The following is a 23,957-nucleotide window of genomic DNA, read 5'->3' as shown; positions in this document are numbered from 1 at the left end:
TCACTCAGCAAAACTTTGTTGATGTCCCACTAGGTGCTGGGCAAACAGATGAACAAGTCTCACCCATCTGCCCTCATAGAGCTTACACTCCAGTGGAGGGGACATCACATTACACAAATAACAAGAAATGACCAGGGGAGATCAAAGTGAGGATGAAAATATAACAGGGTGATAGGACTGGGAGCAACTAAACTGGGGACCAGTTTAGGTGAGGTGGTCAAGGGAGCTTCCCTCAGGAGGTGACATTTAAGCTGAGACTTGGAAGATGAGGAAAAGCCAGCCATGCAAATCTCTACAGGGAGAGCATTCTGAGAGGAGGAGGCAGCAGGGAGAGGCCGGGGCTGAGGAAGAGACTGGTAGTTTCATGGGTCAGAAAGAGTGCCGGTGTGGCTGAAGCACGGGGAGGGAGAGGGTGTGGGAGAGGATGGAGAGGGAGAGGTTGGTGGAGGCAGCTCACTGAGGGCTTTGGGGACCAGGCTGAGACGTTTGGACTTTGTTCTAAGTGGAAAGGAAATTCAGTGGAGGGCCCTAGGCAGTGTGATCCATGATTTTAGAAGGCCATGCCGGTTGCCTTGAGGAAGGGGCATTGTGCATGGTGTCTAGTGAAGGGGCTTGCTGACCAGAGACTGGGGCTGGATATAACTAGGTCAAGTCATATCTCTTCTTTAAACCTTAGTTTCCTCATCTGTACAATGGAGACAATAATTCCTACCTACTAAGCTGGAGCATGAGTGAGGAGAGAATAGGAGCATAAAACTATATCATGAAATATGTACTCAGAATAACTCCAACAATTGAGGGTAGCTCTTCTCTTTTAGTTTCCAGAAAACCAGAGAAAAAGTACAACAGGTTGCCTAGTAGTAGGAGCAACCATTTTCCTGGCCCTAAACTTAGAAAGGCGACTGCCACTGAAGCCGTGGATGCCCGCCCCTTACTTTCCTTCCCGTTCTGATGCTCCTGAGACCTCCTGATTATCCTTGGCCACTGGCCAAGACAGGCTAAGACTCAAAGGCTGCCTTGGAACAGACCTGGGGAGAGAGAAAAAGATGCAGGCTCGAGGAAACCAGCTGCTTGTGGCTTTGCTGTAAACTGCAGTCCACCTGTAGGTTTGGAATATCTGCTAGTGAGCCGCCACCCTCGGCTTTATTTCCCAAGGCTGTGCCCTGGTCAGGGGCTGGCAAGAGGACCTGGTGATGGTTCTGAGTGGCTGGACTGAACCTGGCTCTAGGCACTGGTGTTTGCTGCCTTTGGATTATTTGCCTTTGCAAATAATCTCTGTGTGCTGTTGGTAAAGATGGAGCATTTTATAATGTTAGAGAGCTGCCGTGGGGTGGGAGCCTGACTCCTCTTCTGGTTTTGCCATTTAGGAGCTGTGTGGTCTGGGGCAAATCATGTTTGCCTTTTGGGCCTCAATTTCCTCATCTGTAACCTGGGATCAGGATATCTTTCCTGAGACTGTAGTGAAGTCAAAGATAGGCCCCATGAGGCCTGGCCACAGAAGATTCCACACATGGCTCTTCTTTCATTAATAAATATGACCACAGTTGTAGAACAACAGCCAAATTATGAATTAATGATTTATTGCCTTGTTGGTTTCAAAGATAATCAATTGTCGATTAAGGCTAGATCTTGGCCAGGTAGGTGACTTTTGAGTTCTCTCATGGAATGGCTTTTAAAAATTAATAGCTTTAAGGCAGCTGTAGACATAGCCTTCTTAGGTCTTCCCAGCAGAGACAGAGGCTTCAAATGTGGGGAGATTATGGCAGGAGAAGAGGTGGCTCCGTTTTTCCTTGTGTCTGTGGCTGGGTGGGAGATCCTGCTGGGCAGGGAGCCCGTGGTCGCAAACCTGCAGTTGACACTCTCCAGGCCACTCTCAGCAGAGAACATAGGGTCTGGCACATAGTAGGTGCTCAAAGCAACTGAGCATTCAAACATGAGTTCATTTACCTCTGTGGTTTAATCAAGGCATGGCCATGTCCTTTAAAAATAAACAAATCAAGCATATAGATACAATTTAACAATCGCCTGATTTGAGTCTTTTTTTTTTTTGACAGTCTTGCTCTGTCGCCCAGGCTGGACTGGAGTACAGTGGTGTGATCTCAGCTCACTGCAACCTCCGCCTCCTGGGTTCTAAGCGATTCTTCTGCCTCAGCCTCTGGAGTAGCTGGGATTACAGGCGCATGCCACCATGCCTGGCTAATTTCAGATCTTTTGCTTAGTCCTCTTTTCTATTGTATCTACTGCTTAGATTTTATCTTTAGCGTTCACAACACCCAACACATTCACGCACTCACATTCACACACTCTGCACACATACTCAGAGAGTAGTAGGGTGGAGTGATGAAGAACTCATTGCAGGTGCCCACGGTTTGCTTCTGGCCTTGCACTTCATGGGCTGGTGACCTTGGGCAAATTACTTAAGCCCTCTGAGTCCCATCTGCAAAATGGATATAAACATAACATGCACAGCTATTGTTACAAAGAGAAGCACGTAAAACAGTCCATGTGGTACCTGGCATGTGGAAAGTCTTCAGTAAATGTTGGCCACTCATCCCACAGTGTCCCGCCTATGTACATGTAGGCCAGCACTCAAAGAAAAGCATGTCTAACATGCAGATGAGAATCTGCAGGCTTTGTCTCTCCGTGAATCTCTGAGTCAGGAGATGGGCAGGGTTGTGGCTGGGCTGCTGTCTGGGGAAGTTGGGCCTGGCTGGTGCTGTGCCTTAGTCCTTGTCTCGAGGTGAGGGGTATGGCATGTGGTGGCCCTGGTGGTCGGGTCCCAGCAAAGGTTTGTGTCTTGGAAGAAATAAATGGGAGCCCTCAGCAGCCCCTCATCCTCTTGTCAGGCTGCTGTGAAATAAAAGCTAGCTGGCTTTTGTCTCTATCAAGTGGTCTTTTATATGGAGAGATAACGAGGGGACAATTAATACAGCAATTGGGAGCAACCTTTGAAGCCCTGGTAATTTCCCTGCCTTATAATTATCAAACAATCAGGGTTTTTCAAGCTCCCAATTACATCACAGTCAGAACCAGAGACAGAAAGAGTGGACACTGTAGCCAGAGGCCAAGGGGACCCAAGAAAGGCCACAATGTGTGACCCCAAGAAGATCCCAGGGGTGGGGGTAGCAGCAGAAAGAAGGGTCTGGGTTGGAAAATGAGCCTCCTGCTGGGTAGCAGCTGGGCCAGCCTCGGAGAACACCAGATGCCGTTGCTGGTGGAAGAGGGCCTGGGATGGAGCATCTGGCCCCAGCGCTGGCACACACCTCGGAGGAACAGGCTCTTGGCAGGCCTGCTTCCCCAGCTTGGCACACCCTGGGACCAAAAGCCAACCCTGAGCTCCATCTGGGGGAATCAGTGTCAGCTGGGTTGGTCCCTTGCCTACTTGCTGCTCACTCGCCGAGGGCCCTGGACAATGCCTGACTCCTCTCAGGCCTCTGTTCTCGTGCAGGCAGCAGCCCATTGCATCTCTAAGCTTCTTATAAGATCAAACACTTGGTGATTCTGACTTAAGCAGTATTAGGGAGAGAAGGCTCAGTTCTTCCTTAGAAGGTCAGTTCCTGGCATGGAGCACCCATCATGGTGGGGCCCTCCCCAAGGGCGATGGCAGCTGCGGTGCATCAGGATAGCTGTGTTGGTTCTTTACAGCCGGGTGCATCTGCCCTGGGTTCAGGCACTTGGAAACTCTTTGTGAAAGAGTCTCCTCCTGCTCCTTCTTCATTAACGTAGCCTCCACTTATGGAGACCTTGCTGGGTGCCAGGCTAGAAACTTCCCCCACAATCCAGTGTGAGCCCAGCAACAGTGCTTACAAAACAGTCACTATCAGATCTACTTTATGGGGAGAGAAGAGTGTGTAATGAGGGTTTGTAACTTACCCAATGGTCACTTTTCCCTTAAGTGGCACAAACGGAATTCATACCTGAATCTATCAGACTTCAAAGCTATAGCCTCACCCTCAGGCCACACTGCCTCCCCTAGATGGTTAGAAAACAGACGGGACCCAAGCCAGAGCCCCGGAGCATAGGCACCTCACGCTGCAGGAAGTGTGCTTGAAATGCTGCCCCTGGCCCAGCCACCAGACTCTGGTCCTCACACTGTCTCTGGGTTGTGGACAGCTCTGCTGCAGCCACCTTGATAAAACTCTACCTATGTCCCTGTCTTTGTGTCACCTCCTTCGTGCTCAGACTCCTGAGAGGGAGTGTCCTGCCAGCCAATTCTAAATCCCATTCTCCTGTCCTGGAAACTGGAAAAAGGAATCTCCACTCCCTGGACAGTAGGAGGGATTTCAAACCCTGCACCTAACATACTTTGAGATCTTCCCAGATGGAAAGTGTTCGGACACTTGGAAAAGAAGTATGTCTGTCAAGTTGAGATTCTGAAGACACGTCCCCCACCACGGCCAATGTGGAGGCTGGTTCATGGTATCCACAGTCTTGCACCTGGGCTGCATGGTCTCCACCTGAGATCCCAGCTCCAGCTTTCCTTTATGGAGGGAGACGTTAGGGACCAGAAAGGGGAATGCACCTGCAGAAGTTCACACAGCTGCTTAGTGGCTTTATGATAATAAATAAAAATTCCTATCAGTGTAGACTGAGCTTTGGCTCTGTGAATAAGAATGGATCGTCTTATGGGGCAGCAGAGTGGTGTGGAGTGGGTGCTCAGGGCAGGGGGATGGTGGTAGACGATCTCCAGCAGCTTGTTTACAGTAATCAATGACCCCCCTCAGCTGGACTGAGCCCTTAATCAACTGTCCACCCTCAGAGGATGGCAGGAGTCTCATGCTTGCATTTCTGAATTCTCCCCTTCTGGGAAAGCCCCAGGCAGCCACCATTGCAGACCTGCTCTCAGTGATTAGGGGTGAGTGACGCCAGCACCGTGTGGGTTAATGCCGCTGGGATAGAGGTATGCGCTGGCTGGTCTACGGATGGATGGCAGGTGAAGGGTGCTTTATTACGATGTATGACCAGTTTCTTGGCTGCTTCATCATCTGCCAGTGTGCAGGCAGAAGCTAATAAGCAATTTGTTCTATTTTGCCCCTGAGGGTGCATCCCGAAGAGGGAAGCTATTGATTTTTAACACTAGACACATAAACTCCAAGCTAGTTCTTGTATTCTTTGGTCCCTGGCGGTGCCCTGGTGGGGAAAGCCAGCCATTTCAGTCATCAGACACACGCAGCCAAATGAGGTGGTAATAAACTCACCACCACTGGGGCCAGTGTGTGGAGACTCCTCTCTGCTGAGGGACCTTTTTATTCTCTGCCCTGGTCCTGATTCCTGTGGTGCCTGGCCCTGTGGCCTGGCTATCATTTGGGTCCACTGCCTTTCACGGGCTTGGGGGTTAGGCTGCTGAGCAATGAAAGGGAGCAGGGTCAAGAGTGGGGAGAGAGGACCCGGCTAGGAACAGTAGAAGCGAACACTGGAGATAGGTTCTGACTCTCAGACCTGACAGCACAATGGCCATGGTTATCACTTCATCCCCTACACACCCAGTACTCATCCTGTAAAATGAGGGATCTTACAGCCACCCTGTGTGAGCCCGGCTATCATCAACCCCGGGCATCTGCAGAGAGGACTGTACATTAACACCATAGAGAGTGGCTTACCTTGGGCATTCCCGTGCTGACAGGTTGGATGGCTACCTCGCTAGTTGTAGTCCCACCTGCTCATTTTACAGATGGGAAAACTGAGGCCCAGGAAGGCAACTTAGAGTGGGTCTTCTTGTTCCCTGCCCCGGTCTCTGTCAACCCATTCTACTTCTATCTACTTCTTTCTCCAAAATATCAGCCCTCCAATCAAACACCCAGAATGTTTCTCCTATTTACTTATCTGTGCTTTCTAAATTGTCTCAATACATCTCACTTTTATAATTAGAAAAAGATAAAAACTATTACAAAATGAAAATCCATTGCCATTTTTTCTTTTAAAGAAAATACAGAAAAATAAATATCGACATTCAAAAAATATGTTTCGCAAGTATCAATTATATCTAGGTTATGATTTTTACAATATAAAATAAATTTTAGTGATCATTTCCAATTTCCTTCAAAAGGCACCTAAACTCAACCCAACACCCAAAGCCTGCTCCTGTCTGTTCTTAACCACCCTCCTCCCAGAGCATACACCCTCTGCTCACAGTAACCCACTGACTGCTCCCCAACCCTACTGGCTGACATATCCCACCCTCAACTACTATCTCTTCACTCTGTCTCTTTCCTCTTTCAGGTAAAAGTGCTTTTGAATAAACGAACAAATTGTTCTTAGCAATAAAGTCATTTCCTCATTTCCCCTGGAGGTAGGCAGTGGTAAAATAATGGTATTGAGGATCCAACTCTTTCCCTCGGTCCCAGCATCATCAGCATGCTGCCCTGCAAGCCCGTAGAGTTGTTGCTTCATAGTCACAAAGTGGCTGCCATGGCCCAAGCATCAGCTCTGTGCTCAAGGCAGGAAGTGGAAGAGGCAGCACCTGGAACTATCCTCTCTCTCAGCAGAACAGCAAAAGCTTTCCCAGAAGCCCCAGCTGGCTTTCTGAGATGTCTCATTGACCAGAATGCATCATGTGACCTTTTCTAGCTGCAAGGCAGGATGGGAAAGTAAATATCAGCCAAAACCAAACAAGATGACTTACTTGGCCTAGACAAATCATGATTCAATCCTAAGGATAGGTCACGCTGTCACTGAACAAAACAGGTTTTGACAGCAAAGGAGGGACAAATGGCTTTGGAGGAGGTATTTTCTGGTGACTTCCTGGACACCATGGTCTGTGACTCAACATCTCTGTTCTTGATCTTATCCACATCCACATGGGTAATTCCAGTTAGTGATTCCATCAATTTCTCATGATAGCTTAGGAAATCAGAGATCTCCTTATTTCCAATAGCCTTCATCCCACTCTTGCCATAGCCATCCCTCCTTCTCACCAGCAATGGCCAGCTCTCTGCATGGCTCCACTCCCACTTTTAATCTCCTCTTATGATCTCCTACTTCAACCTTCCATCTTTCCAGATCTTTTCACCCTGAACTTCTGGTTTTGCTTGCTATTTGTGTGTTCATTTTTCTCCATCTATCCTTCCTTTCCCCTAGCCTAGGGTCACAACCCTTTTCTTAAAGGGCCAGACAGTAACTACTTTAGAATTTGCAAGCCACACGTTCTTTGTTGCAACTACTCAACTCTACCCTTTTGACACAAAGGCAGCCATAGATATCACATGGACAGTGGGCATGAGCGTGTCTGATAAAACTTTATTTACAAAAGCAGGCACTGATTAGGCCTCAGGCAGAGTTTGCTGATTCTTCCTATTGCTTTCTCCTGCCTGATTCAGCAAGTCCCCATGGAACGTTACCTCCTCCACCTAGTCCCCTCCACATCTTTACCCCATACTTTTGTTTTGTTTTGTTTTATTTTGGAGACAGGGTCTTGCCATGTTGCCCAGGCTAGTCTTGAACTCCTGGTCTCAAATGATCCTCCTGCCTCGGGCTCCCAAAGTGCTGGGATTACAGGCATAAGCCACTGCACCCAGCCTTTACCCCATACTATCGATTGTGCTATAGTGAACCTTTAAAGAGAACATTCTGAGTGCCAGGCTTTAGGCTAAGTGCTTTACCTATGAAGTGGGCAATTCCATTTTGCAGAGGTATCCAGAGGAGGCATAAAGTAACTGGCTCAAAATTGCACAGTAGAGAGTGGACTTGAGGTGTCTCTCTGCCTTGAACACACGCTATTAGCCCCACTCCTCTCCCTGCTCCACTCCCCATTGTGGGGGCTTCTCCTGCCAGGATGAACCCAGCTGTCCCTAGGCTACTGTGAACTGATAGCAATGGCCAGAATCTTGCCTGAACACCTGGACCCCAATCTGCTCATGGCCTCAGTGTCAGCTGGGCCCTTGGCAAATCCAGCTGTCCCTACCTGACTCTACCCAACCCTACTCTAATAAAGACCACCATTTTCCCACCCCTCATCCCTGTGGTCTCATGTCCTATGTCATCGAGAAAGCTGAGGCCATCAAACAAAAACCCTCCATCCACTTCTCACCTCCCTCCCTGCCTGTTGGCTGTGTGTCAGCCCCCTTCCTCTCCTGCTCAGAGGAGGTCTCAGCCACCCCCAATGTCATGGAGCCCACCTTTTCCTGCCTCCTTAGGGACCTCTCTTCATTAACTGTTACTAATTTTTCTAGAGACCCTTCACCACTGTCTGTAATCCTGCCCCAGTCTCTCATCTGAAAGCAACAAAACAAACATGAAAAATATCCCTCCACTCGGCCTCCCTTCTGGATACTTTTCCTTTCTCTCCTTCCTATCATAGCCAAGTGTCCAGCATAACAAGATCCTGCTCTCACAGTCTCTTCTCTTCCCTCCCATTCCCTCTTCAACCTACTGGAACCATGTGCTCCCTCTTGTACTTCTCCGAAATTGCTCTCATGGGGGTCACCGAGTCACCTGCTAATTGCCAAGTGCAATGGGTCTCTCGGTGCCCCTCTTCCCCAACCTTTCTGTGGCACACAACCTGAGAGGTAGTTTCCTGTTTCTGGACACTTCCTCCCCTGGCTCTGCCCCCTGCCCTTCCTCCATGCTCACTCTCGGGGTCCCTTGCTGGCCTCTCTCCCCACCCTTTGCCTTAGTGTTGACTCTCACAGGTTCCTGGTCACACCAGTCATTGGGTGATGTCTCACGGCTCTCTTGGCTTCAATTATCATCCGTCTCTGGCTGTCTCCCAAATGGCTCTCTCTAGTCCAGTCCTTCATGCTGAGCTCCAGACCTAAATATCTGGAGGCTTCTAGAAATTTGCAGCTGAATCCACATGGCCAACACTGAACTTATGATCTTCTCCCCTTGAACCTTCTCTTCTTATAAACCTTATTTCACGAGTGGCCCCAGTATCAACTCAGTCACACAGGCAGAAATCGAGAGCCATCCTAAGATGATCTCTCACTCGGTCCCCATGTCACACCGGCCACCAGATCCTGTCGATTCTGCCTTTTTCATATCTCCAAATCCAGTCCATCCCTTCTTCCTTAATTCTAGCTTACAACTTTTGGGGATAATCCAATTGTTTGACTTAGTCTCTATACTCGGGCTGCTGGTGAATATCACACTGAACTGTGTGGCTTCCATCCCTCGAGATTCTGGCCTCCACCTGAACAGTGTGCTCCCTGCACCCCAGGCTTCCTTCATTTGGGGTTGGTCAGCCCCTCCCCTTTTCCCTCAGCCTCTGACCGAAAGACCTCATCTTTGCAGGAGCCTGATCTGCCTTGAGCCCTCTCTGCTCACCCTCAGAGGCCCTCCCTTCTATTTCACGGGGAAAACCCAAAGCTCACTCAAGAACTTCCTCTCTTTCTTTTTTCAACTCTCATTAATTAGTTTAATATTGAATATGTCATCACACCCAGTAAACGATTCAAATATTAAAAATGTAAGTGAACATATAACTCTTCTTCTTCCTGGAGACATCTGATACTTCAGTCTCCTTGGCAGGGGAATGGCTGTTACAAGCTTCTATATTTTTTTCAGAAATGTTGTTTGCACAAACGCAAAAATGGGAGTACTTTCTAGCCTGAGTGATCGAACACCATAACCCCATGTGGCTATTTATTAATTTATTTTTTTGAGATGGAATCTTGCTCTGTCGCCCAGGCTGGAGTGCAGTGGCATGATCTTGGCTTATTGCAACCTCCTGCCTCCGCCTTAGAGTAGCTGGGATTACAGGCGCCTTCCACCAGGCCCAGCTAAGTTTTGTATTTTTAGTAGAGACAGGGTTTTACCATGTTGGCCAGGCTGGTATTGAACGCCTGACCTCAAATGATCCGCCCATCTCAGTCTCCCAAAGTGCTGGGATTACAGGCATGAGTCACTGTCCCCGGCCCCGCATGTGGCTATTTAAATTTAAATTGATTTTGGCTAAAATTAAAATTAGAAATTTAGTTCTTCAGTCATACTACCACACTTCAAGCATCCAACAGCCACCTGTGGGTGGTGCCTACTGTATCGGACAGTGAAGATCTAGAACATTTTCATCATTGTAGACAGCTCTAATGGGCAGTGCCTGGCTGATATTGTTCTGTACCTAGATTAAAAAAAAACTATTTTATATCAGAGATGGTTCCTCCACTCCACTCATTCTAATTATTGCATGTCCTTAACTATTTAGCCAGTCTCCCAGTGAAGAACATTTAGGGGTTTCCAGGCTTTTGCTATTACAAATAATGATATCACAGACATTTAATCACACTCGTATTTTTGTCCATGCACAAGTGTATACACAGAATAAATTTCTAGAAGTAGAATTTCAAAGTCAAAGATATGCGAGTTTTAAAATATGTATTGGAAAATTGTGTTCCTGTGCAGCTGTTCCCTAACAGTGGGCACCACTATTTCCCTGTGATTTCTTTAACAATACACATCACTGAGTTTTCCAGTCTTCATTAAATTCAGAGGTGAAACTATATCACACTGTTGTTTTACTCTTCATAGTTAAAAGAATGAAAGACTATAAGTCATTTATATGTATTTTTTCCTGTGAAATGTTAGTGTCTTTCTCCTTTCTTTACATTGGATTACTGTTATTTTTTTGTTGATTTATACATTTTTTCTTTTCTTTTCTTTTTTTTCAAGAGAAAAGGTCTCTATCTGTTGCCCAGGCTGGAGTGCAGTGGCATGATCATAGCTCACTGCAGCCTCAAACTTCTGAGCTCAAGCAATCCTCCTGCCTTAACCTCCAGAGTAGCTGGGACTACAGGTATTTTCCACCACACCCAGCTAATTTTTTTTTTTTTTTTGAGACCGAGTCTTGCTCTGTTGCCAGGCTAGAGTGCAATGGCTTAATCTCAGTTCACTGCAAGCTCTGCCTCCTGGGTTCAAGAGATTCTCCTGCCTCAGCCTCCCGAGTATCTGGGACTACAGGCACATGCCACCACATCCAGCTAATTTTTGTATTTTTAGTAGAGATGGGGTTTCACCATGTTGGCCAGGATGGTCTCGATCTCTTGACCTCGTGATCCTCCTGCCTTGGCCTCCCAAAGTGCTGGGATTACAGGCATGATCCACGGCGCCCAGCCCACACCCAGCTAGCTTTTAATTTTTTTGTGGGGATCTCTCTTTGTTGTCCAGGCTGGTCTTGATCTCCTGGCCTCCAGCGATCCTCCCCCATCAGCCTCCCAAGTCGCTGGGAGATTGCTAAGATCTTTACACACATTGGTCTATTGCCATCCAGGTGCTGATTATTTCCACCTGGTTTGTCTCCACTCGTCTCCCTTGCCAGGGTGCAATGTTTCATGTGGATACAATCAACATTAGCAATATTCTAATGGCTTTTGAATTTTGTGTCTTAGAAAAGCCTTGTCTACTCCAGTATTTCAAAACATTCTCTTGCATTTCCTTTCAGTTCTTTAATTGTTTATTTTTTTTATCTCCAATTTGATCTCTGTGGAGTTGATTTTCATGTAAGGAGTGAGGTAGAGACCCACATATTTTCCCAGATGGCTAGCTAGCCTCAAATCATTTATTGAATGTTTCTTTCTCCTAATGAACTAAAATGTCAACTTAATTATATGTGAATTGCAGAAATCTTTCTGTACCTTGGTTTCCAGATTTGTAAACTGAGAGTAATAAACTAGGATTGCTGTAAAGGTGAATGAGATAATTATAAATATGCAGAATAGTGCTCTGCACATAGTAGGTGCTTGATAAATCTTTACTAAGATTTCCTCCAGAAGTATATGATCTATTTCTGGATCTTATAGTCTAGTCATTTAGTCGGTGTATCGGCCAGGGTTTGAAGTTGCAAACAAGGAAGGCTACTCTGCCAGTTGGAGCAGAAAAGGAATTTTTTAGATTGTTGGGTTGCTCACGGGGTCTCCAGGAGGCCAGAGAATCAGACACAGTGGCTGTGCAGCCAAGAAGCCTGCATTAGCCTCCCTTGGGGATTGCTCTGGGGAGGACACCACTGCTGCTGCCACTGCTGGGCACACGTATGAAGCTGGCCCTGCTGGCTCTGGGCAGTGGCCATCAGGAACTATACCACGGCATGCCCCACCAAGAGCCTGATGTCTCTGCTGCCTCCCTCATCAGACTCAGATCATATGCAGGTCCTGCTTCTCCTGTTGCCCTTTCCTAGATCTGAGGCTCACATGGGGGAGCCTGGCTGGCAGAGCACAGGTCACACACCTGTGTGCTGGCTGGAAGGGTGACTGACAAAACAAGTTCTGGCCTCCGCTCTGACCTCAGCTCTGCTCTGTTCCTACTCCAAACCTAGGAAGTATTCAAAAGACACTAGGTGGCTACAAATATGACAAATGTCCATTATAATCTGTTTATTCACAGGCGTGGCTTTCTTGCTGGTAAAATGATGCTGTTTACTATCCAATACAGTTGGTTTCCTTTTTTTTTTCAGAAATTTCTCAGCTCTTGTTATATATAGGATCAACAAGTTTAGTGTAAAATCCTGTTGGTATTTTTGGATCACACTAATATAGATTAATTTAGAGAGAATTGGAATCTTTACCATATGACTCTTTCAATCCAAGAGCAGGGAATATCTTTCCATTTATTGAAGTTTTATTTTATGTCTTTCAGTGGAGTTTGAAAAAAATGTTCCCTATCGATTAAGCACGTTTTGTGTTAAATATATTTCTAGGCATTTTATCTTTTTAAATTTTTACTGATGATGGGATCTTTGATTTTCTAATTGGTTATTGTTTTATATAGGAAAGCTAGTGATTTTTATATGAATTAATTCTTACTAGATTCTTAATGTTTTAACAGTTTTTAAAAACTGGGGTTTCCTCCTGTGTTTTAGAAGTATACAATCAGATGATTAATAAATGATAATTTTGCATCCTCATTGCAATATTGAAACTTCTCATTTGTTTTCTCATCTTGCATTGGTTAGTAGGTGGGAAACAACATTTAATAATATTTGTTACAATGGGTATTACTGCCGCAATAATGCTGCATAATAATCATCAAAGTTCAGAGTTCAAAGCAATCATTTATCCTCATTTAAGTGTCTGCAGGTCGACTGAGGGTTGACTGATGCAGGTTGGCCTCGGCTGGGCTTGGTTCCAAGCTGCAGGTTGGGTCCAGGTCTGCTCCATGCATTCCTCAGCACCCTCGGACCGTCTTGCAACCTCTAGCCTCTACTTTTCATGGTAAGGATGGAAATGTAAGAGTAGTAAATGGGAACAGAGGATGCTTCTCAAATCTTAGACTCAAAATTGGCACTCTCATTTATACCACTTTCCACCACAATCCACATGGCCAAATTCAACATCAGGGGGATTGGAGGAATACTCTGTCTTTAGGAAGAGAAACTGCAAAATCACATGGCAAATGACACAGATACAGCAGGGTGAAGACTTGCACAATGATGTAAGGGACACCATTGGGCACCCTTTACTTGTCCCTGACTGATGGGAATGATTCTACTGATATGTCATTAGAAATGATCCTGGGTTTTAGCTTGAGTTGTGATATCTCAATCCATAAGATCCTATTTTGTTAAAAGTTCTTAAATCATGAAACAAAGTTGGATTTTTGTCAACTTATCTTTTAGTATATATAGAGAATTGTATGGTTTTCTTATTGATATTTTAATACCATGAGTTATATTGATTCCTTCATTAAAAAACCATCCTTGCATTATTTAAATAAACCCCACATGGTGTTAGCATATACCCTTTTAAAATATATGTTCTGCTTGCTAATATTTTATTTAAAAATTTTGCATTTATGCTGTCTTAAAGATCATACTATAGTCTTTTGTCTCACCCTTTTGGCTTTTGTTTTTACTGTTTTGTTGGATTCTTAGATTTAAGTTCTCTTCTCCCTCTCTACAATATTCAGGAGCAGTTTAAATAGCATTGAGTTATCTGCTTCTTGAAATTCTGATGGATTTTTACCTGTAAAGCTTTCTACAAGTAGTGCTTTAATGGATAGTGGCTTTTTGACAACACTCTCAATTTCTTCTCTGGTAATTGGACTCTTTAGATTTCCTATCTTTTCTAAGGCTAGTTTTCACCATTTATGTTTTTTCTTGAAAATCACCCATTTTGTCCATGTGTTCAAATTTATTTTCAAAGCATTGAGCTCAGTAATCTATTACAATTCTTTTAATTTCCTCTATACGGGGTAATTTCCCCATTCTCATTTCTAGTTATGCATATTTGTGCTTATTTTCTTGATTAGTTTAGCTAGTGGTTTTTCTATTTTCCAAACCCATTCTCTGCTTCTCAGAAACTTGCTCCATGCTTTATCCTCTCTGTGTCCTGTTCTTTTCAAGTGTTTCCCCTTCATCTTTCCTAATAGCTCATAATCATTCTCCAGCTTCTTCTATCTCAAAGGCCTCCAAGTCCAAGTTGCCCCCTCTAGCAGATGACTGATAGCTTTATTTTCCAAGGCTTCCTGGGAGTGCTTTCCTGATGTCCATACCGTAGAGTATTTCCTGAGTGTTTTCCAGAGTAATTTCATAGAATTACTCCTCAATGACAACATCTACTTTTGTCTTCATGACTCCAATTAAACTGCTCTAGTTGAGGTCATCTGTGATCTTCCTCACAGCCAAAGTCATGGGCATTCACATCTAGTTACTTTTCCTGATTTTCTGTGACATTTGCCAATACTGACTATTCTCTCCTTCTTGAAATTCACTCTGCCTTGTTTCCGTAACACCCGCTCTCCTGTGATACTTCCTATTTCTCTGTTTCTTCCCACTTCCTTTAAAAAAACACATCTCTTCTTCTGCTTACTCAGTACACGTCTGATTCTATAGCAGGACCTCACCTACACATGCGTGTCTTAAGTGGCAGCTCATATGCTGATGACTCCCCAAACTCTATCTGCAGCTCAGACCAGAGCTCCATTCTCACTCTCTTGACCTGTCCTTTTGGGCACCCTAGTTCTGGACTTCATTATTACCCCCTTGAAATTGGAAATAATCTCCCCTCTCCCCATGGTCTTCTTTCTCTAAGAGAGCCGCTTCCATAATATCCTTTCCTGGGAATGTTCTGAACCACAGGCCTGCCATTTCACTCCTCTACCTAAAACATTCAATGGCTTCCTTTTGCTTTTAAGAGCAAGGTCGACCACTTTGGCTTTCTCCATGACCTCCAGGCTCTCCAAGCATCACCTCCTGGCCTGCCTGCAAGCACCTTTGCTCTAGTCATCAAGTCACTTGAGGTTCTCTGATCATCTTATGATGCTCCATGTCTCTGGGGATTTTCTGCGTGGTTTCTACTTCTTGGAATTGCTTTTCCACATTTTTTTCCTGCTTTTTGAAAAATTAGCTTAAGATTTACCTGCTTTGAAAAGTTGTCCCTGACTCCTCCCCTGGTCTGATTTTGATGTCTATCTTGGGAGAGCCTCCTACTCCCAAACCCAGTTCTCCATCCTCTGCTATATTCTAAAACCATTTCCCTTTTGTCTTCCAGAAGGAAGTCATCTCTGGAGATAAAGAGAGTGAGCCCAAGCCACAGAAAGAAAAGGAGAATGAAGACTGGGTGCTGTGGCTCACCCCTGTAATCCCAGCACTTTGGGAGGCCCAGGCAGGTGGATCACAAGGTCAGGAGATCGAGACCATCCTGGCCAACATGGTGAAACCCCATCTCTACTAAAAATACAAAAATTAGCCAGGCATGGTGGTGCACGCCTGTAGTCTCAGCTACTCGTGAAGCTGAGGCAGGAGAATCTCTTGAACCCAGCAGGCAGTGGTTGCAGTGAGCTGAGATCACGCCATTGCACTCCAGCCTGGGCAACAGAGTGAGACTCTGTCTCAACAAACAAACAAACAAACAAACAAACAAACAAACAAACACCAAAACAAAAGGAGAATGAGCAAGCGCCTTGGAGTTGTACAGACCAGAGATGGCATAGCAGTGTGACACTGGTCTCTCTGAGACTGTTTCCTTATTTTTGAGGTGGGGGAAAATGAATAATCCTTGCACGTTGTTGCTAGGGTTAAATGAGATAATGTATGTGAAGGTGTCTTCCACATGGAAGTTAAGTTTTTAAAATGCACTTATTTCTTTTTCCTTTCCTCAGTGATTTTCCCTACTGGGCCACAGATGATTTATTAAAAGGTTGCCTGGACCAGAGTCCTTAAGGGAATTAAGAAGTTGGGGAGTAATGACCACATCAAGTGTTGGTGAGGATGTGGAGGAACTGGAACTCTTACACACAGCTGGTAGGGATGTACAATGAAACGACCACTTTGGAAAACAGTCTGACAGTTAAAAAAAAAATTTAACATACATCTATCATATAAGCCAGCCAATCTACTTGTAGATATTTACTCAAGAAGAAAGAAACATGGCTACACAAAGACTTGTACATAATATTCATAGCAGCTTTATTTGTAATAGCCAAAAAACGCAAAGGTCCATTAATAGGGAAATGGATAAACAAGTCATGGTATACCCATACCATAAAATATAACTCTGCAATAAAAAGGAATGAATGATTGATATATACAAAGACATGGGTGAATCTCCAAAAATTATGCTAAGCAAAAAGAAGGCACACAAAAAAGCACATGCTGTGTGATTCCATTGATATGAAACTGTAGAAAATGTGAACTGATCTACAGTGATATAAAGCACATCATTGGTTTCCTGGGGACCGGGTCAAGGGGCAGGAGGGAGGAATGAAAACAGGGAATGAAGAATCTTTGGGGTGATGAATGTGTTTGTTAACTTGATGGCAGCAATGGTTTCATGGCTTAAACTTACATCAAAGTTTATCATATTTTACATTTAAAATATGACATATAGTTTATTGGAGCCAATTAAACTTCAATAAAGCAGTTAAAGAAGAAGAGTTCATGGATAAGACAAATGTAGCTGCTGCTCGTCCAATATTTCTTCCCCGTTTCTTTAGCTCAAGGGAACCCAAATTTTGTTTCGGGTGGCAGTGCAAATGGATCATAACTGGTCTAAGCCACTTATGATCATCCCATTATCCACACTGCCTGTCTCCTTTGCAGCTGGGACTGGCCATATAACCTAAGTTCACAAAGACCTAAGATGACCTAAGTCGGCTGGTGATGATTCTGGGAAAGCTTTGGCTCTCGCAGTATAAAGGGGGCTTAGAGTGGCTGTTGCAAAACTTTCCTCCTCTCCTTCCTGCTTGGAGTTAGAACATGATATCTGGAGCTGCAGCAGCTATCTTTTCACCTTGAGGGCAAGGCTGAGAGAGCTGTAAACATGCTGGCCTTCATTTCATGCAGCCTTTGAGCAGCTACCTTCCTCTGGTTTTGATGTGCAAGAAAAATGCTCCCTATTTGTTTGTTTCTATGCTGCAAATAGTTTTCTCTTATTTGTAGCTGAATACATTCTCACTGTTATAACTGGGTTGGTGTTTCAGTTATTCATTGCTACATAACAAACTGTTCTAAATTTAAAGCATAAAACCACAACTATTTTTAAATTCTCAAGGTCCTTTGGGTCAGGAATTTTGCTAGGGCACAGCAGGAATACCTTGCCTTTTCTCCATGACGTCTGGGGCTTTAGATGGAGATGGCTGCAGCAAATCGATTATAGCCAGGTGTCTGGGGCTGCTATGAGATTTGCCGAGGCTGGGATGTCCGCAGTGGCTTTTTCATTTACATGTTTGGTGCTTGGGCTGGGACAGCTGGAGCTCTGTCTGGCATCACTTTCTCCATGAGGCTTCTTTGCATTGCTAGCTTGGGCTTCCTCACAACATGGCTGTCTCGGGGTAGTTAGACTTCCTATGTGGTGGTTGGCATTCCTCAGAGCAAGTGCACCAAGAGGGGAAGCTCTTTTAAAAGTTCAGCCAAGATCCAGCATAGCTTCACTGCTGCTTAATTCTACTGTACAGAAAAGCCACAGGCCACTGAGATTCACTGGGTGTAGGAATCCCACTTCTCTTTAAGGGAATGGCATGCAGATACAGGGAGGGGAGGAGAGGATGGCAGCTGTCCTGGAGACAAGATGGGAAGCAGCTGCGAAGCACACAGGTGTGTGAGGTCTGCTTCTGGCTGTGACTCCTCCTGTAACCTGGTGTGCACACTGCCCACTTGCAGTTTCCAGGGCAATGTCCAGACTCCTGATCTCAACACAACTTTCCATCTGGCCCTTGCCTTTGGCCTTGTGGAACTCCTTGAATATTTCTTACTGCCCTCATGTGCCCTTTAGCCTCCAGGCCTTTGAACCTGCTGCTTCTGATGCCTGAAGTGCCTCCCAATCCCTTCCCTTTGTGATCTCCTACTCATTCTTCAGACCTCAGCCCTGCTCTTCCCTCTTCTGGCAGATTCCCTGATAGGCCTGGTGCAGGTTGGGACTCCCTGACTCTGAGTTCACACATCAGCCTGACCAACCTCTACCAAACCCTCAGTGCGTGTCTTCTGGGTGGTCTGTCTGACCCCTAGAATATGAGGACTTTGAGAACTGAGACCTGTAGCCTCCATCTTTGTACCCCTGTTCCCAGCACAGTGCCTGGCGAAGAGTAGGCAGGCAGGCAGGCACTGTTTGTGGAAGAAAGGCAGGAAGGCTGTAGATCTATACAGACTATGGCAAGGGATTCTCCCGGGGGTTCCCTGTTGGCATCCTCTCTGCTCCCAGCCCTCCTGGGAATAGCTGAACTCCAGGGCTGTCACTCTCATACCAGAGCCATGCGGAAATACTCAGTGGCTGTAGAATAGCATGTGTTCAGCCCTGGCGGGGCTCAGAGCTGTCAGCAGCCCTCCTCACACGCTACCCCAGGGCCCAGGCTGCATTTGTCAGATCAGCTCGTATGCCTGGCTGATAGGTGGGGAGCCCTGCCTGGCACTGCAGCGAGTGTTCCTGATGGATCTCTGGGGCTCCCGTGCTTCCTGGCTTCCCGTGGAATCCAACACATTTTAAAAACACCTGTTTGGCACCTGTTTGGTGCCCAGTTCGCTGCTGGGCAGTGAGGAGACAACAGAAAACCAGATAGGTAGCAGAGCAAAGGCATGGAGGTGAGAATGAGAGGGGCCGGAGGACAGGGAGCAGGCTGCAGAATGGGGAGCTGAGGTTGCAGAAAGTGGTCAGGACATGGCCAGCCCCCAGGATCTTCTGCTCCAGCTGGTTTTCAGTTCACATTCCCTGCACGGCCATCGTGGCTGTTCCCAGCAACTGTTCTGATGGGGGATGCCCAGGCCTTACAGAATGCTGCATGTGGTGAGCGCCGCTCCTTCCTTTTCAACCACAGGAGGAAGTCTGGTCTTTATCCTAAGAGCAATGGAGAGACACTGAAGAGTTCTTTGTAGGGAGCAACATTACCAGATTTGGGTTTAGAAAGGTCGCTCAGGCTGCAGATGGAGAATAGGTTGGAGGAGACACGAAGGAGGCAGGAAGACTGTGGGAGGCTGTTCCAGGTTCCTTGAGGACAGACTGTGGTGGCTTGCAGCACATGGGGGCTGCAGGGATGGGGAGACATGGAGGGATTCTAAGGGTGTCTGAAATGTGGACTTCCCAGGGCCTGTTTCTGGGAGGTTGGGAGTGAAGAGGGAGAAGGAGGCATCAAGGATGATGCAGGATAGGGTGGGGGCTGGGAGTGCCGAGTCACGTGGAGTAAAGGAATGCCACGGTGAAAATGGTAAGGTCAGTTTGGCCTCCTCCACTCATGCTTGCCTGCCTTGCTTTCTATGAAATCTGCAGTTAATGAATGTGTACTTATTTTCCTGGATACTGGGGGAGGTAAAGGAAGATCCTTTCCCATATCTGTGCTGTGAGTGACCCATCATCTACCCTGTAGCTCCATGAAGGTCAGTGCCATTTGTGAGCACAGAACCTACATTTTCTTTGTATGGTGATTCAGCATGCACACATGAGTCATTTTGGGACGTGGACTTAGGTAGCATGCTTGCTCTGTGTTAGGAAGCTTTCCTGGGGTATCACTCTCTGTAATATGTACATATGTAGGTATACAGATGGATGCATATGTGTATATGTATATATGTGTGCGTGCATGTGCATGTATTTTATATATATATGTATATGTATATATGAAGAGGCAGAGAGAGAGAGCGTGCATGCACACTGGGCAAGGGAAGGAGGCTTCACAGAGGTCTTGAAGCATGAGTAGGAGTTTGCCAAGGAGATGAGGGATGAAGAACATTCTAGGCAGATGGAAAAGGAAAAGCAAAGGCATGGAACGGAGACTAGAGAGCTTAGAGAGGGCAGAAGGGGAATGGCTGGAGGGGAGTGGGAAGAGAGGCTGTGGTCAGGTTGCAAAAAGCCTGGAATGCCACTCTCCAGAGGCTGAGTTCCACCTTGTAGTATACAGGAGGACTTCTGAGTTTATTTCCCAAGTCATCTTCATTTCACTGATAGTGTGTTAATTTCACAGCGTGTGTTAAGAAGGATTCTGAGGTGGGAGCATCCCCTCTGACTGCAGGGTGGAGACCGGTCACTAGAGATTTGCCACATCTGCTGTAGGACAGGGAGAGCCACTGGAGGAATGGACAGGGTTGGGGTGAAGGAGCAGGGGCTCGGGATGTGTGTTGTAGAGGATCCACTGGAAGCTCTGGGAGCATGAGTCGTAGGGAGGCAAGGCTGAGGCCACGCTGCCAATGAGCCAGCACTCAGTTTAAAAATATCTGAGGAACGAATGAACTGCTGAGTGTCTGCACGGCAAAAAGTAGACTTTATTGTAGCTGCTTCTGTAATGAGGACGTGCAGGAGGAATAAAGAATTTCCATGGTAAACACTGTCAGCCTTCCTCTCCCCTTTAGCAAAAATACCAGAGTGAAAAAAAAAATACAGAAAACATGCACGCGTGCACACACACACACACACACACACACACACAAAGCAATGACCCCACCGAGGGGCACTTTCCTTCTTCCCTTCTCTATTCCCTGTGAAGTCAGAGCATAATTACTGAAAAGCATTTTTGACTGAATTTTAGATGAGCATTTTGACAAAATATAATATTGGAAACAATCTTTATCAAACATTCATGTGTAGTGTGAGAGATAAAGCCCGGAATCCATAATTCATACGGCGTGTGTATTACCAAGTGTGCATGAGAGGCTGAATTTCAATGAGGCTGCCTGAACAATATTTTCTGCCAGACGTGGGCTTTCATCATTTACATTATTCACTAGGTTTTCCAGAACAGTAAATCTTAAATATATATTTGTGTTGGGAAGAGCTTGTGTGCATGTCTGTATACACACAGAGGGACGCACACCCGTTTGGGCACAGAATTGGCGGATACATGTTCCAGCTGGAGGGGCAGGCAGTGACAGCAGGGAGCCTCAGCGTGGCGGATGCCCAGGGCTCCTTCTGGAGGACGGCCCACGTCACCACGGACTCCACAGCTCACTGCACAGGCATTAAATCCGCCCACCCTGTGGTCTCCATCTTCAGACCCACCCAGCACCTCAAGTGGAGTCCTAAAATAAAATAGGACCGAGTGCGGGCATTGCTCCGGATGCTGAAGAGCAGAGCTCCTCCAAGTTCACCCTCTGCACCGTTCAGGCGGTCATTGTACCGAGTCTCCAAGGGCTAACGTTGGAAGGGACGCTTATAAAGATTGTTGAATTTTGTCTCATTGTGATATGAGTTGGACAGCTCGTGGAATAGCCTCTGCTTGTATACAGTAGAGACAGGAGCACAGGGCCTCCGGCATTTTCCCCACTCCATCTCTGGAGGGTCACACTGCTCAGAGGTCTTCCTTGGAGGTGAGATTGAGCTTCTTCTCATGATCACTCACTGTTGCTGTGCCGGTCCGTGAGGTCCCGCAGCACAAGTCTGCTTCCTGGAGCACAGGCCCATCCTTCAGATCTCCGAGTGTGGCATCGCATTGTGGGATCATCCTTTTCCAGGCCTTTGTTCCTTCAGCCTTTCCTCACATCGCTTTTGTAGTGGATGCTGGGGTGCACTGCCCAGATACCCTCTGGGGACCGAGGAGCTCATTCTGCTGCCCAGAGTGTGGGCCGCTGCTGGCTTGAGGCTGAGTCCCTCCTCAGGAGTTCCCCTGAGCAGGGGGCACTGGCTCCCCCAAGGTCTTGCCCCTCCCCACATGTAGGGGAGGAGGACACAGCCCAATTGAATGACTGGTAGACACATTCTCTGAAAAGTCATTCCCAGCTCTAGAGCCCCTGGGGCTTGGCTGAGGCCTGTGCTGCGGCTGCACTGCAGTTCAGCCTCTCTCTGCCTGGCCTGGAGTCTGTTACTCCCCACAGGTATTGATCCCCAGACATCCCAATACACTTCCTGCGTGTAAGTCCTCATGGCAGTCCCAGGAAACCAAGCCAAAGAGGGCCAGAACGAGGAGTGGCCTGAGGAAATGGAATCTAGCTAGGATTGTGGAGCTGGATCACCTGTTGCCCAGTGGGCACTGAAGACCTCATCACAGGCTGGAGGTGGAGGGCTAAGAGCTCCTGGCCCATAGTTTCAACTGTGGGTGCAATGGCTGGCTTTTTCTCTGTTGGAAAAACTGGGATGGAAGAGAATGCAGGGAAGGCTGCATATTTCAGGAGCTGGAGAGGACTGGGGAAATTAGTAATTATAAGGACAATGAAATTGCATGGCTCTTACTGAATGCAATCAATGGATCGGAAAAAAAAACAATAAAAGGCTGTAGGTGATTAATTACCACTTTAAGGCAAAATGTGCAAGTTGTGGGCTTCCTCCGCGACATAAAGAGACGCACTTGTCCAGCAGTGGAGAGATGAGAAAGCTGCTTTTCAGGACCCAGACTTAATTCTAAGGGTGAAGCTTCAGAGAAGCGCAGCATCTTCTCTGAAGCTTCAGAGAAGACTGAATTCTCACCCTGGGTAAGTCAGCTATGCCACAGTCACAGCCTTGCTTGGGAAGGAGTCGACTATGAGACTTGGGGTCAATGAACTTGAACACTTTGAAGCTCCAGGGCCCTGGAATCCTCTGGGCCTGCCGAAATGATTGTTTTCCAGCTGTGAAAGGCTAACGCACTGCCCGGGCTTGAAGTTAAGGTAGAGGCCTCTGTCTTACAAGACAATGTGCTACCGATGCAACATCTACTCCAGCTTCCCTCCCAGACACTGGACCAAGCCACTGCACAAACCAGGAGGGTAAGTGCCGAGCCTTCAGAGGGAGGAAAGGAAGTTTGTGCAGGACACACCACCAACCAGGCAGGTCCATGAGTGGATGCAGGGCACACTGAGGGGCTGAATAAGGAGCAGTGGAATAAAAAAGCAAATGAGCGAGAGTTTATCAACATAGGGCTTCTCCCTTAACAGAGGATTTCACACCCTGCATGGACCCTGAGATGTGTGCTGCCTGGTGGCTCCTGGAAGCTTGGCAGGAGATATGGCCCAAGCTATGTGAAGGAGAAATGCCAGAATTACCATGGCAAATGTCAGGAGGAGGAATCAAAACCTCTGAGGAGTGGGCATGCTGGAGAGGATATTCCATGGAAGCTAGAAAACCTACCAAATGACTGTGGCCCACAGAAGGGCCCCGATAGCTGCCATTCACCAAAGCACTGAGAGATGGTACCAGCATCAGGGAGGGGTTCAGTGGTGGGTGGCCTCTGTAGGTCAGGCATGGCCTCAGGAGACATCATTATAGAACTGGGCTCTCTGATAGCAATCAGGATGCTAGGAGGGAACAGAGGCCTGGGGTGGTGCGTGGCTGTCAGAAGCAAGGTGGGCACAGAGATTGCGATGAGCAGTAAGGTCAGAGTGGCAGCAGGGGGGCCTGACCTGCAGACTAATGTGCATGGCTAGTAGAATGTTATGTTCTTAGTGTAGAGTGACCACTTGTGTCAATTTATCCAGGGTGTGGGACTTTCAGTGCTAAAACCAAGAAAGTCCTGAGCAAACTGGGCTGAGCTGGTCACCCTGTTCTTGGGAATGCTAACAAGGATATTGTTTGAGCTACAAAATAAAAAAAATCAAAGATGGATAATCAGGAGACTAAAAGTAGTCTTCAGCTTAAAAAAAAAAAAAAAGAAGAGTGAAAACATGACCCTTCGCCCAGTGTCTGGATCTGAGCCAGTCTGCTGAC

General features: G+C 46.6%; 1 annotated feature.

Annotated features, from left to right (window-relative positions):
* Window positions 21,984-22,484: an enhancer, noted in NCBI's record as "H3K4me1 hESC enhancer chr10:80587578-80588078 (GRCh37/hg19 assembly coordinates)". NCBI's record gives its function as "activates a minimal SCP1, AML or CMV promoter by ChIP-STARR-seq in primed H9 embryonic stem cells {active_cell/tissue: H9 hESC(primed)}" and the evidence as "EXISTENCE:reporter gene assay evidence [ECO:0000049][PMID:30033119]".

This window comes from Homo sapiens, chromosome 10 (genome assembly GCF_000001405.40).
Source record: "Homo sapiens chromosome 10, GRCh38.p14 Primary Assembly".
NCBI classification, from domain to species: Eukaryota; Metazoa; Chordata; class Mammalia; order Primates; family Hominidae; genus Homo; species Homo sapiens.
Note: the sequence above shows the minus strand (reverse complement) of the source record. Positions and strands in the feature narration are given on the sequence as shown.